The sequence below is a fragment of the Homo sapiens genome, chromosome 7, assembly GCF_000001405.40.
Source record: "Homo sapiens chromosome 7, GRCh38.p14 Primary Assembly".
Taxonomy (NCBI): Eukaryota; Metazoa; Chordata; class Mammalia; order Primates; family Hominidae; genus Homo; species Homo sapiens.
The window spans coordinates 21,482,561-21,498,077 of record NC_000007.14 but is presented as its reverse complement, the minus strand read 5'-3'; the positions used below and the strand labels follow the sequence as shown (position 1 = coordinate 21,498,077).

Below are 15,517 nucleotides of genomic sequence, written 5' to 3'. Positions count from 1 at the left end.
GTCATGCTTTAATTTTCTTTAAGTAGAAAACTGAGAGTAAGGCGAGGTTGAAGGGGAGTGACAAGGGATATAAGAAGACTTAAGGAGGTTTAGATAATAATTAAGTTAATGAGAAAACTGACAAAGACGACTAAGATTGATAGGCAGTTCTGAGAAACTGGTTGAGATTTGAGACCATGAATTTATAGGGACACCAATCTGCATAATGAGTGATTTTTCATTTTTTCCTGTAGCAATTATCAACTCAAATATAGAAGCTCTTTGGTTATTTCATTATAAATGCTTTATTTAGGCTATTTAATCCACTTTGTTTTAACTATCATCTATAAATAGATGACTACATCAAGATCCAGATTCCGAAACTCAGCTGTGAATTAGACATTTCCTGGATGTGCCACAGACAGCATCATTCAACATGTCACAAAGAGAACTCATCAACACAAGGATCATTCTAATCCTTATGATGCTTCAGAAAGAAAGAGGGGGCAAGAGCAAAACCAAGAAATGATGTCACTGACCATGGTGAAGAACCTCCAAAACTTTGCTCTTCCATAAAAGCAACAAAAACCTATGGGAAAAAAACTGTCAAAAGCAACCATTTCAGATTCTGGCAATTAATCAAGGCTTGCAGCAATCCATGGAAGTGTTTATTCAAGAAAAATGGCTGAATTTCTGTAAGAACAGCAAGCTTTGTAGTATTTTAACTTACTAGTCTCATTTTCCACTCCCCACCTCTGTGGCAGCCTTGAAAAATAACAGCCTGAATTCTTGGCACCATCTGGCAGCCACTAGAGGGGGTGGAACACAGCTGAGGCTCTTTCAAAGCCTAATTCCCAAATAATCATTCCCTGAAGACTCCACTTATAAAACTGTCATATTTAATCTGACTCTGTGAAGTAGCCCCATGAGAAATGCCTTCTCCCAGATGTAAGGCAGGGCATGTGTTTGTCTAAAACAATTAGAAGCAAGTATTTTAACTTCATGGATGCCCAAGACAGGGGATAATAATTGGGACAAACAATAGACTAACCAAAAGGCTTTAAAGGAAAAGCTAGCTGAGAGCTAAGAGATTCAGAAGAGCTTTAAAAACCTGTGACATATACACAGGAATCTAGAAGGTCATACATGTTTAGAAGGTCACACACGTTTAGTGCTGTGAGCCTGCTCAGAATAGCATGAGAAGGCCCTAACTAATCTGTGCCTAATCCTGAGGCTCTAGGTAAGCAGAAAGTGAAGGCTAAGGCAGAGATGTCAAATGACTGGCTGAGTGCTGAAGGCAAGCTGCAACATGCACACAGAACCTTTCAGCACAGGCTGAGAGACTCATTAGTTCCAAGGTGTTTAAAGAAAGAATATTTGAAAAATAGGTAAAAACTTCCCCAATTTGAAAAAAAAATAAATAAATAATAATCTGCATATCCAAGAAGCTCAATGAACTCCGAGTAGGTTAAATGCAGAGAGTCACATCGAGTCACATTATAATCAAACTGCTGAAAGACAAAGACAAAGAGAAAATCTAGAAAGCAGCAAGAGTAACTACATTTAGAGCCTTGGAAGACAATTAGCCTCTTGAGCCTTCAGTTTACTTATTTATGAAATGATGGGGTTGCACAAAATAATTTTCAGGAGTCCCTTTGGCTCTAAATCCTATTATCCTTGGCAGAGTTAACAGAAGTGTTTGCCTGATACTGAGGCATGCACATGAGGCTTAACAGAAAACTGTTCTGAATTCTTAAAATATAAAATAGTAAATCTCTCTCCCTTTTTACACTGTAGTCTCTCAAAATGAGTTTGTCTCCACTTTTTTAACATTTATGTTTTAATTTATATACAGTAAAATTCATTTTTTTGGTATAGAGTTCTATGAGTTTTGACAAATGCATTCAGTCACATAATCGCCACCAAAATAAACACACAGAAGAGTTGCTATCACTTCCAAAAATTCCTTTGTAGTGTCTCTTTGTAGTTGAACTCTCCCTCCTCCTTGCTTATGCCCTAGAAAACACAAATCTGTTCTCTGTCCTTATAGTTTTGATTTTTCCAGAATATCACATAAATGATATCATATATTATGCAGTCTTTTGATTCTGAAATCTTTCACTTAGCATAATGCATCTGAGTTTCATCCATGTGGCTGTTTATTAATAATTCATTCCTTTATGTTGGGGAGTAGTACTCCAATGTATGGATATTTTTATCCATTCACCAGCTGAAGGACATTTGGGTTACTTCCAATTTTGAGTAATAAATAAATAAATCTGCCACACACACACACATGCACACTCACAGCTTTTTTTGTGTGAACACAGTTCTTACTTCTCTTGGGTAAATACTCAGAAGTAGATTTGCTAGATCATATGGTAATTGCATGTTTATAAGAAAATGCCAAACTAGTTTCCAAAGGCAGTGTGTCATTTTGCATTCCCACCAGCAATATATGAGAATTCCAATTGCTCTGCATCCTCACCAGTACTTGCAGTTACCATGTTCTCATGGTTCTTGCTTTTGATTTTAGCCATTCTAATAGGTGTACAGTAGTATTGCATTATGGTTTTATTTTCCATTTCCCTAATAGATGATATCAGACATCTTTTCATGCACTTTTCCGTCACATACATATGTTCTCTGGTGAAGTGTCAAATCCTTTGCTCATTTAAAAAAAAAAAACTGTTAAATTTGTTTACACTGAGTTTAAAACTTCTTAAGGTGTTCAGCATAAAAGCACTTTGTCAGGTATGTGATTTTCAAACACTTTCTCCCAGTCTGTATCTGTATCTGTTAAGAGTTTTCATTCTCTTAACAGGATCCATCACAGAGCAAAAGTTTTTAGTTTTCATCAAGTCCTATTTACTGATTTTTTCTTTTATGGATTACACTTTCGGAGTTGTGTTAAAGCACTCGTAGCCTATCTCAAGGCTGCAAAGATTTTGTCCTATATTTTATTCAAAAAGCTTTGTTGTTTTAGGTTTTGGATTTAAGTCTCTGAATCACTTGGAGTTAGTTTTTGTAAAAGACTTGAGATATGTAGGTTAAAGGTTTTGCATATGGCTAATTCTTCTATACAATTTATTGAAAACGCTACTTTTTCTTTACTGAACTGTTTTTGCACCCTGTGTGTGGAGGGGAATTTCTGGACTCTATATTCTGTCTTACTTATCCATGTGTCCTTCAAAACTACACAGTGTTGATTAGTGTAGCTTTACAGGAACACCTAAAATTATGCAGTGTAAATCAGCCAATTATGTTATTTTTGAAACTGTTTTGGCTATTCTAATTGCTTTGCCTTTCATATAATTTTAGAATCAGCTTGTTATCTATAAAAATGCTGCTGGAATTATGAGAAGGATTATACTGAATCTGCAGATATGTTTGGGGAGAAATTACATGGAAACAATATTGGGCCATCCAATCCTTGAATACAATGTGTATCTCTGCATTAATGTAGTTCTTCATTGCATTCTTTCATCAATGTTTTAGTTTTTAGCTTACATGTCTTGCATATATTTTGTTAGATTTATGGCAAAATGTTTCACTGTTTTCATCATATTACAAATGGCACTCTTTTTATAAACTACTTATATCCCGTTATTCACTGCTAGGATGTAGAAATACAATTCACTGTTGTACATTTATCCTGTATCTGGCAACCTTGCCAAACTCACTAGTTCAAAAAGCTTTTTGGTAGGCACCACGGATTTGCTATACAGACAACCTGGTGTCTGCAAATAAAGATAGTTTTATTTCTTCTATTAGAATCTGTATGTCTTTTATGACATTTTCCTGCTTTACTGCACTGGGTAGAAATTCCAGTACTATGGTGAATAAGAATGGTAAAATCAGATGTCTTTACCTTGTTCCTGATTCCACAGGGAAGCAAAAGGTCCTTCATCATTAAGAATGATGTTAACTGCAGATTTCTAGCAAATGCCCTTTACCCAGTTAATGATGTTTCCTTCAACTCAGTTTGCTGAGAATTTTTACAGAAATATATGCAGAATTTTGCCAAATATTTATTGTGTGTTTGCTGTCATGTGATTTTTTTTCTTTTGTCATTATTAGTGAATTACATTGACTTTTTCAAATATTCAAACAGCTTTTCATTCTTGGAATAAACTGTACTACGTAACAATGCATTATCCTTTTTATATATTGCTGGATTTGCTAGTATTTTGTTGAAAATTTTGACAACTATACTTACGATATTGGTCTAAGTTTTTTTCTTTGGTATCATGATAATGTGAGCCTCATAGAATAAGTTGAGAAGTGTTCCTTATTTTCTGAAAGAAATTGTAGAATTTGGTATTATTTATTCCTTAAATGGTAGAATTTGTCAATGAAACCATACGGGCCCAGAGTTTTCTTTTGTCAAAAGTTTAAAATTACAAATCCAATTTCTTTAACAGATATAGGAGCATTCATGCTATCTATCTCTTCTTGAGCCAGTGTTGGTAGCTTGTATCTTTCAAGGAGTTGTTCCATTTTATCTAAGTCCTCAAATTTAGGTTGTAGAGTTATGCATAGCATTCTTTTTATTTCTACTCTTTATTATTTCCCAACTTCTTATTTTGAATTTAATTGGCTCTTCATTTTGTAGTTTCCTAAGGTGGAAGTTTAGACTATTGACTGAGGACCTTTCTTTTTTTACCAGTAAAAGCATTTAATGCTACGAATTTCCTCTAAGCACTGCTTTACCTGCATCCCACAAATTTTATGGTGTATTTTCATTTAATTGGAAATATTTTCTAATTTCCCTTGAAACTTTTTCTTGGCCCATGTGTTGTTTGATTTCTAGATATTTAGGGATTTCCTAGATATTTTTGTTATTTGATTTCTAGCTTAATGATGTGAGAACATACTTCGTATGATTTTTTTTTTTTTCACATGGAATCTCACTCTGTCGTCCAGGCTGGAGTGCAATGGTGCAATCTCAGCTCACCGCAACCTCCACCTCCAGGGTTCCAGAAATTCTCCTGTCTCAGCCTTCCAATTAGCTGGAACTACAGGCACATGCCACCATGCCTAGCTAATTTTTGTATTTTTAGTAGAGGTGGGGTTTCACCATGTTGGCCAGGCTGGTCTCAAACTCCTGATCTCAGGTGATCCACCTGTCTTGGCCTCCCAAAGTGCTGGGATTACAGGCATGAGCCACCATGCCAGTCTGATTCTTATTTCAAATTTGTTAAGGAGTGTTTCATGGTCCAGAATATGGTCTACCTCTGTGAATGTTCCATGTGCTCTTGAATAAAATACACATTCTGCTGGGATATTCTTTAAAGTGGAGTGTTATTCAGATACTCTCTTTATCCAGAGTATACAGCTGGATCCTTTTTAAAAAATGTCATTGGACAGTATCTCCCTTTGGATTAGTATAATTTATACCACTTGCATTTAGTGTAATGATTGATTTGATTAGATTTTAAGTCTATCATTTTATCATCTGTTTTTAAATTGTCTGTTTTTCATGCTTCTATTTTCCCTTTTCTCCATTTTTTTCAGATGACAGTCAAGTATCCCTTATCTGAAATGCTTGGGCCTATAAGTGTTTCAGATTTTGGATTTTTTTCCCAGATTTTTGAATATTTGCAGAATACATACTGACTGAGCATCCTAAACTGAAAAACAACACACTCCAATGACTATTTCTTTTGAGCGTCCTGCTGGTGCTGAAAAAGTTTCAGATTTTGGAGCGCTGTGAATTAGAGATTATCAACCTATATTTGAATGTTGTTTAGTATTCTCATTTAATTTACAAAATTATTAAAGTCTATAATAATTATCAGTCCTATATATAGGAGACATTTAGGGGAGTATCTCCACCCACCCTCTCTGTAGTGGTTGGTATATATCTAACTTTTCAAAATATATATAACAACTTCTATATTATCAGAGTAAAACAAAGCAGCTTTTTAACTATTGGCTTCCTTACCCTCCCTTTCTGTTATATTGGCCATATGTATTACATCAACATACAATGACTATCTACAAGACAATGTTAATTTTTTTTAACTGTAAATAGACATATGTTAAAGAATTTCAGCAGAGGAAAAACAGTCTGCTCTATTTACCCAGGTATTTAGCATTTCTTTTGGCAAGTGGCTGAGAAAACAGAAAAGACGATTTATTTTTATTTTTTGCCCTTCCTTCATTATTCAATTTCAAATTTCTCTCTGGTATAATTAATTTTACCTTGAAGAACTTCCTTGGCATTTCTATTGAGGCAGATCTGATAGCAGCAAATTCTCTTAGTTTTCCTTTGGAAGTATCTTTACTTTGCTCTTGTTACTATACTGTTTTGAGGATATTTTCCTTGGACATAAAATGGTGAGTTGATAGTTGATAGTTCTTTTCTTTCTCTGTCCTCCATAGTTTCTAAGAAGAAATCCGCCATAATTTGAATTTTTGTTCCCCGGTATATAATGTGTCCTTCTCTTCTGGCTTCTTTCAAGATTTTTTATCTTTGATTTACAGCAGATTGATTACAATATGATATTGTTTTCTTTTAGTTTCTGCTTGGGATTCAACGAACTTCCTGAACCTATTATACCTAACATGGGAAGTCCCAGCCATTATTTCTTCAAATTTTGTCTTACAGCAGTATTTTTCCTTTCCTTCTGGGAGACCAATGACACAAATTTAAGACCTTTTATTATTGTCCCACAGATCCCTGCAATCCAGTTTTTTCTGACTCCCCAATCTTCTTCCTTTCAATTCTTCAGATTTTATAATTTCCAGTGGTCTATCTTCAATCTCACTGACTCTTTCCTCTATTATCTCCACTTAGCTACTGAGCATCTGATAAACTTACTTTTAATATTGTATTTTTCTAAATCTAAAATTTCTATTTAGTTCTTTTTTATAGTTTTTATAGCAGATTTCTCTGCTAAAAACTTCTGCCTTTCCATTGATTTCAGTCACGCTTATCTTTAGTCCATGGATCATGGCTATAAGAGCTGCTTTAAAGGTCTTATCTGATAATTCCGAAATCTAGATCATCTTGACATCTGTTATCTTCTCTCTTAATAAAAAGTCAGCTTTACGTGGCTCATAGTATGTTGAGTAATTTTGGACTGTATCCCGGACATTTTGGACATTATATTGCAGAGACTTTAGGCCCTGTTAAAAATTCTCTGGAAAATGTTTTTGTTTTAGCAGGCACTCAACCCGTTTAGGTTCAGACTAAAAGTTCCATCTTGCCCTCTTTGAGCAGCAGTTCCAACATTAATTCACTTTTCAAAGGCTTTGTTATGCTTTTTGTCTCTGCTCAGCACATGCTGGGAATTGGATGGTGGTTTTTAAGATGTTTAGTTCTTGAGGCCTTTGCTGTGGTTCTTTGTGTCTGTGCTGTGCATGCAATGCTCAAGGTTGAGCCCAGTGCAAGGTTGAACCCAGGACTTCTTTTGATCTACACACAGAATTAGGAAGCATCTTTTATATCGCTCTCAAAATTTCCCCTATGCCTTTCCAACCTCCAGTTGTCTCACCTTCTAGTTCCTCCGGCTAGAAAAGCCAAGTTACTGGGGGCTCCCATAATGTTCTGCACTTACACCACGACTGGGACCACCTTCAGAGTAGAAGTGGCAAGACAGAAAAATGATGTTGATTTACCTCAGATTTCTTGGAAAACAGACTCTATTTTCTAGTTCCCCTAGCCAGAGATATGGGTATTTTCTAGAGATTTTTTGGTGCCTAAGCTGCTACTATTTCAGTGTAATCTGCAAATGGAACTGGTTTTGGAGCAAAAGGCCCCTTTTCTTGCTTTTCTGGTTAGATACAAGAGGTTTCTCTTAGATTGTTTGCTACCTGCACCTGCTATGCAGTGCCCGCAGGGTTAAACCTGGGAGACAAAGGAGGGAAAAAGATCTCTATGAAATGAACACATATGATACACTGTTATTCAAATTCAAGTTTTCACTTCATTTCTCAATTGCCTGCTATAGTTTGCTTTTCATTGTCCTCATTTAGATACTTAAGAAAACAAATAAGTAAACTTGTCCAGAGTTTTTAGTGTAGTCAATGGAACAGACAAGTTGTAGATAACTTGGTCCATTCTGGCCAACAGTGGACACAAAGGGCAACAGTTTTGATGTTTCACATACTAATTAAAACATTTATATAAGAAAATTCTGGGGCTGGGCACTGTGGCTCACACCTATAATCCCAGCACTTTGAGAGGCTGAGGTGGGAGGATCACTTGAGGATAGGAGTTTAACGCCAGCCTGGGGCTGGGCACAGTGGCTCACGCCTGTAATCCCAGCACTTTGGGAGGCCGAGGCGGGTGGATCCAAGGTCAGGAGATTGAGATCATCCTGGCTAACACAGTGAAACCCCATCTCTACTAAAAATACAAAAAATTAGCCGGGTGTGGTGGCGGGCGCCTGTAGTCCCAGCTACTCGGGAGGCTGAGGCAGGAGAATGGCATGAACCCAGGAGGCGGAGCTTGCAGTGAGCCAAGATCATGCCACTGCACTCCAGCCTGGGTGACAGAGCGAGACTCCATCTCAAAAAAAAAAAAAAAAAAAAAAAAGAAAAAAGAAAAAAAGACCAGCCTGGGCAACATAGCAAAAACCCACCTTTAAAAAAAAAAAAAAATTAGCTAGGTGTAGTGGTGTAGGCCTGCAAGTCCCAGCTACTCAGGCAGCTGAGGTGGGAGGACTGCTTGAGCCCAGGAGGTCAAGGCTGCCGTGAGCTATGATCACATCACTGCGTTCTGGCCTGGGTGACATGGTCTCAGCAACAACAACAACAACAAAATTCTGTGAGAAAACTTCAACGAAATTGATGGAGTTTTCTGTTTCATCTGTTTTGATCAAATATTCCTTATTTTGTTAAAAAAATTGAAGTTTCATTCCCAAATGAATTTTACAGAATCTGTTTCATTTCCACTTAAGCTTATAATTATTGATACAATTATAAATACATTTAACTTTATATAAAATTGTATCTTGGCTAAAACACTAAGTCGTCATATATTATAAAGAACCTATACTGCAGTTGCACAAGACTTTTTAGGGGCTCTTTTGAAAAGGATTTTTTCTTAGCTGGTGAAAAAGAATTTGAGATCTGGTTAAAGATCCCTATAACACTAGTTGCTAAAAATCATCCCTAGATTGCCTTACTTCTAAGTGGATTATGAATGGCAAATAAAACAGTCCAGTAAGTAGGCAAAGTATCTACAATAAAATATTCACAAAGTACACTATATTAACACATGTAACATAAAAGTGTGCATATCTATATGACATCGTTATTATAGACATTATCCATTTAGTTGTATCATTATAGTATTTCCAAGTTATCAGTATTTTTTTTTTAAGAGACGGGGTCTTGTTATATTGCCCAGGCTGGAGTGCAGTGGCTATTCACGGGATCATAGGCACTATAGCCTCGAACTCCTAGCACAAGCAGTTCTCCCGCCTCAGCCTCCTGAGTAGCTGGGACTATAGGTGTGCACTACTGCACCTGGCTAAATGTAACCCTTTAAAGTTTAAGAGAGCAGCATGATTACATGTGTTTGTTTATTCTCCCCACTGAGACACCCATTAAAATAATAGTAAAGGCATAAAAGGGTTAAATCTACAATAACAAAAAAAAAAAAAAAGGAAAGGAAGTCCATCAGCAAAACAATGATTATATCAAATGTCTGCAAACTAGAAAATAAATTGTCAAGGAAGAGAATATGTTCTAGAAGACAGTCAATGTCTTCTGCTGGGAGGGAGACATGGAACATAAAACAAAATTAAAGTCCATACATAGACTATAACTACTATCAAAAAATTGGGGCAAAATGTTAATATTAAAGATTTGTATCTTAAAAAAACATGGTTGCACAGCATATTATTGTATTTTGGTAATTAGGCATCTTCCAGTGTAACACAGTGTTCCACCCAGTTACCTAAAATAAAAGCCACTAGCTTGGCAGAGGCAGTGGCTCACACCTATAATCCCAACACTCCAGGAGGCTGAGGAGGATGGATTGCTTGAGCTCAGGAGTTCAACACCAGCCTGGGCAACACTGAGAAAAATCTGTCTCTGCAAAAAATAGAAAAATTAGCCAGGTGTGGTGGCATGCACCTGTGGTCCCAGCTACTCGGGAGGCTGAGGTGTGAGGATCACTTGAGCCTGGGAGGTGGAGGAGGTTGCAGTGAGCTGTGATCGTGCCAGTGAACTCCAGCCTGGTGACAGACAGAGACCCTGTCTCAAAAAAACCAAAACAAAACGCCACTAGCTCATAAAGTTTTCAAAATCTTTCACTTAAGATTTCATCAAATCACCACCATGACCACCACCACCACCACCACCACCACCACCACCACCATCATCATCATCATCATCATCAACTTGAACAAAAACAAAGAATCACTGGACAATTCAGGAACGCCTACAACACTGGAAAAAGATACAGACAAAAAAATCATCCTGGAGGAAACATAAAATTCTAGATTAAAAAACTGAGATAATTTCAGCAAGCACCTGCATCCATACAATGAGAACAAAATGCAGTAAAACAAAACAAAACCCACCAACAATGATGGAATACACTATTGGAAATTAAAATGCAATTCAATAGAAATATCTGAAAGTAAACTTAAAAAATTTCATGGAAAATAAAATGGTAATGAGACAAAAGATATAAGAGAAAAACTGTAAGACCAAAAAAAAAAAAAAAACCCTAGAGATTCCAAAATATGTCTACTAAGAGCCCAGAGAGACAGAGAGAGAGAGACAGAGAAAGAGAGAGAGAGGGAGAGAGGTGACCCAGAGTACAAGTCATTAGCACAACAAATAAAAATCTATTCTCAGATACAGCATTATGAAATTAGCAGCACACCACAGATTAAAAGGCGCCCTTAGCGTTAAAAACAAAACAGGGGCACTTCAAGAAGACACAGGAACTAATGTGAAAGACCTTCCAATGGCCAAAGGTGAAACAATTTGAGCAAGAAAATGATAGTATTGAATTATAACCCAAAGAACAAAAGAACTACTCATGAGACCATACCAATGTAAATAAATGATTGCATAAATAATTGGAGAAGAAAGTATAAGTGGTACAAAGAACAAGGAAAATTGAAAATGACCTTTCAAACATCACAGTAATAACTGCTGCAGGCAAGATCCACTGAGGAATGCTAAAAGTGAAGCTTTAGTATTTTATTTGTAAAAAAGCCCCCCAAACTCCTCTAAAATAGTAATTATTGTGGTGGTTTTAACATATGTCCACAAATTCTTCGATACTTCTCCCTTCAGGAGGTGAAGCTTAGTTCTCTTCCCCCTGAATGTCGACTGAACTTAGTGACTTGCTTCTAACAAACAATATGGAAAGAGAGAAACTGTAACTTTACAGTGAAGAAATGTGGCACACCCTACATTAACCAATACATCAGGGTTAACATCACCAATAATGAGATAATCACATTACATACTTCCTCTTATATGATAAGAGAAAGACACTAATGTGCTATTCTTCTCATGACAATTCACAATCTTACTCTAATCATTAGAAAACATTAGACAAACCCAATGTGACAGACATTCTAAAAATACCAAAACCACTTTCAAATGTGTCCAGGTGATAAAAGACAAGGAAAGGACTAGGAAAAGTCACAGATTGCAGGAGACTAAGGAAACATGACAAACAAATGCAGTGTGTTATTCCAGACTGAATCCTGGAAAAGAAAAGGTATATTGGTGGAAAGTGTAATTAATAGTATTGCAACAATGTTAATTTCTTAATTCTCATAAGGTACTGTGGTTATACAAGAAGTTTACAATAAGGGAAGCTTGGTGAATGATATGCGAACTCTATGCTAGCTTTGCAACTCTTCTCTAAGTATAAAATTATTTCAAAATAAAAATAAAGCTGCAGGGAAGAAATCAGGTCACCTACAGAAAAAAAAAACAAGAAAAAATAACAAACCTCTTGTTGATAAAACAGATGAAAGAAAATAGAGCTGTGACAATGTTTTAAGAGAATGTAATTTTCAATCTAGAATACTGTATTAGCCAAACAACCAAATTAAGCAGAAAGAGAAAATAAAGAATCCTTTAGACAAATTTATTTCCCCAAGCTTTTCGTTAGGAAGCATTTCAGCACGTTTTCCAGCAACGAAGAGAGTAGACCAAGAAAAATGAAAACACGAGATCTTGAGAACCAATATGAGATCTAAAACGAACAGAGAAGGGAAGAAATCTCAAGATAATACCCCTGGAACAGGTCTACAGAAGAAACTGTTCATGTTCATTAGAAAGATGGAAGGCTCCAGAAAAAAGGAAAATGTGACTGGAATTCACATTGTTCTTAAAAACTTGAAATAACTAAAGATTATTTCAGGTAAAGTCAAACAATACAAGAAAAAAGAAAAGGCATTGTCTAACTTTATTGGAAATAGAGTGGTGAGTTAAGAGAGAATGCCTGGCCTGCATACAGTTTTTCAAAAGAATCTTAATGTCTTCAGATGGTGCAAAGTGAAGTAAATCCTTAATTCTAAATGCAAGAACTCAATAGATAGTATAAAATATTGATAGATCAATAAATAACAGTGTTTAAGTATATGATTTAGATACATGACAGTCATCCTAGAAAGAACAAAAATGCAAAAATAGTTAAAATAGTTAGCTATGATATTCTCTGGAAAGCAGGATGGGGTGGGGCAAAGAGCCTCCTTATTACAGTAAACTTTTCTGTGATTTCATTTTTAAATACCATATGCATATATTGTTTTGAAAACCTTTACAAATTTTTTTAAAAAGCAAACAGATCACTATTTTCAGCAGTGAATACAAATAACTCCATTCATTCATAGCCAAGTCAATAAGTTTCTATTTGTAGTAGTGGTTAGACATCAAATAAAGCATAGTTGTTGCTACGAATGGTTAAGGCTTTCAACTTAACATATTAAATGCTTAATCAATACTTATTTCAAAATATATTTTTTCATATTCTTTTAGACAAATTTAACAAACAGGAGTTACTCTGTTAAATCTTTAAAAGTAACAATTTTAAGTATACTGATATTAATATTTTTTAGTGTCAACCTGTTTTAATTAAACAATTTTATGTGTGATATATTTAAGATGTTTGAACCACTGAAAGTAAGCTTAAAGTATATTGGATTATGAATTGTCAATCCAGTAGATAATAATGGTGTGAATCTTTTTTTTAAAGATATGCCCCAAATCATAATATTTGGTTTTGAAGTATATGTATATATAAATTCTTAAATAAATTTGTTTTGTGTATCTGCAAGTGTGTGGATGTGTAAGAGAGAGGGACTTTACCAACTCATCATTTCTTAGACAAAATGAAGCAATCATAATGTGAGGTTCCAAATCAAACAAAGTAGAAAATTTTCTTGGCTTCCCTAATTTATCCCACTGCTAATCCAGGATGGAAACACTGCATCCTTTCATGCAGACCTAAATAGCAGAGTATTTTTCTAAAACAGATATCAACAACTGGTATGGAATTAACTTTTAATCAATCATATTTGCCAACGTCAATGGTGTATATACTATACAGAAAGATTTCAAATTATCTTTTTTAAAATTAAAATTCAGAGCTTTACTATAATGCTAACTTTTTCAGGGATTGCGACGCTATACTAACACAGGGTGAGCATCCCTAATACAAAAATCTAAAATCCAAATTGCTCCAAAATCTGAAACTTTTTGAGTGTTGACACGATCCCACAAGTAGAAAATTCCACACATAAGTACTTAACACAAACTTTCACACATAAAATTATTAAAAATATTGTATAAGATTACCTTCAGTCTTTATGTATAAGGTATATATGAAACAAAAATGAATCCCCGAAGTATTGCATTGTGCACATGCAAAATCTGAAAAAATCCGAAATCTAGAACATTTCTAGTCCCAAGCATTTCAGACAAGGGGTACTCAATCTGTACTCATTTGTATTACTACTTTATGTGTATATCAAATTAAATAACTTTATATTTACCATTTTTAATAGATTTCATAATTTTTTCTTTTCTGATACTACTTTCTAATCTTAAAATGGAGCTAATTTCTATGCCGGTGTTGCTGTTGTTAGAATCAAATGAAGTAATATATTCAAAATATCTGACTATAATATAGCAGCTGATTTAGAAATGTCAGTTTTATTTCTCCCTTTGTCCCACATGTATCTTGGTACAGGTTTAAAGTATAAAGTATAATTCAATAATTTATTGAAATTAATTTATTCAATAATGAAATACTGAGTCCCAAATTCTAAATATTCTGAAAAGGGTAGGTGTTCTGGGCAAAAAAAGAAAAAAAAATAAAGAAAGAAGGAAAATTGCCCAAAAAGAAGTCAAGGCTTAATATAAAACCACAGTCATTAATATAGTAAGAGCATTGGTGTAGGAACTGGCAAATAGATAAAAACTTCAAAACAGAGAAACCAGAAATTGAACCACACTTAAAGGAGACATTATGTAAAAGAGGACAATCAATAGAGACAGAATGGGCTGTTTAAGAAAGGGCTTTCCATATGAAAGAAAAATAAAATTGTATTCTCATTTCATTCCATCAACAAAAAGAATCTTGAGCGAATAAAAGATCAAACTTACAAAAATAAAACTTTAAAGCTATTAGAAGAAATTGTTTTTTGAGACTTTATGACCTTGGGACAGAAGAAAAATTTATAAACAAAAAGCAAAAGACAAAAGAAAAGATTTATATTTGACTAAATAAAAATGTAAGACTTCCATATGACAAAAGGTATGACAAAGATAAAAGACTAGCACTAGTCCTTTATTGAAAGGGAAAAGTATAACATATAAATCATATAAATAAGGAAAACTTCTGAAAGAAAAAATGAGAACCAGAATTAAAAAACAAAGCCATAAATGACTAATATACATATGAAAGGTGCTTAATCTCATGGATAACCATGAAAAACACAAATTTTTAAAATAAGAAACAATTTTAGATTGAAAAAAACTTTCAAGGCCTGACACTACTGGGTACTGGTGAGCACAAAGTGGAAACTATCAATCACTGCTAGTTAAATAGCCACTGTAGAGACTCTTTAGCCATTACCTAGCAAAACCAAACATACACATTCTCTATGATCCAATAATTCCACTTCTCACACATGTTCTCATCAACTAAGTTTGTGATAGCACACACAAACCCTAGCAATAACCTCAAACAGTATGGGAATGAATTAATATAGTGTGGTAGACTCATGTGATAAAATATTATATAGCAGTTCAAGGAAATTCATATATGCAAATATACATATATGTACAAACAGATCTCAAAACAAGTGAAATTTATAATTCTGCAACATTGTAACATTTCATAACACACACAAAACATTTTTTATGTAGATCCATTAATCATATATGTCAGAGTATTAAAAGTGTACGTAAAACTTAGACACATTAGATTTATAGCAGCTGCAGTCTTTGAAAGGTGAAAGGGTAAACATGATGTTCACTTTATAACTGCTTTGCTGTATTTGAAAAAAAGCAGAAAATATAATATTAACAACTGACCATTCTG

At 34.7% G+C, this 15,517-nt stretch overlaps 1 protein-coding gene across 4 annotated transcripts in view; it reads right to left on the bottom strand.

Moving 5' to 3' along the window:
* The window catches only part of SP4 (Sp4 transcription factor), an 86,740-nt gene that overhangs the window by 16,745 nt on the left and 54,478 nt on the right, over nucleotides 1-15,517 (bottom strand). The window contains exon 6 of one of the 4 annotated variants that reach the window (XM_005249829.5): nucleotides 266-15,467. The exons of the other annotated variants lie outside the window; for them this stretch is intronic. Within the exon in view, the coding sequence (XP_005249886.1) occupies nucleotides 15,454-15,467 (14 nt within the window). The 3' untranslated portion in view covers nucleotides 266-15,453. Of the gene's footprint in view, nucleotides 1-265; nucleotides 15,468-15,517 lie in introns of those variants that run through there. 4 annotated transcript variants of the gene reach the window in all.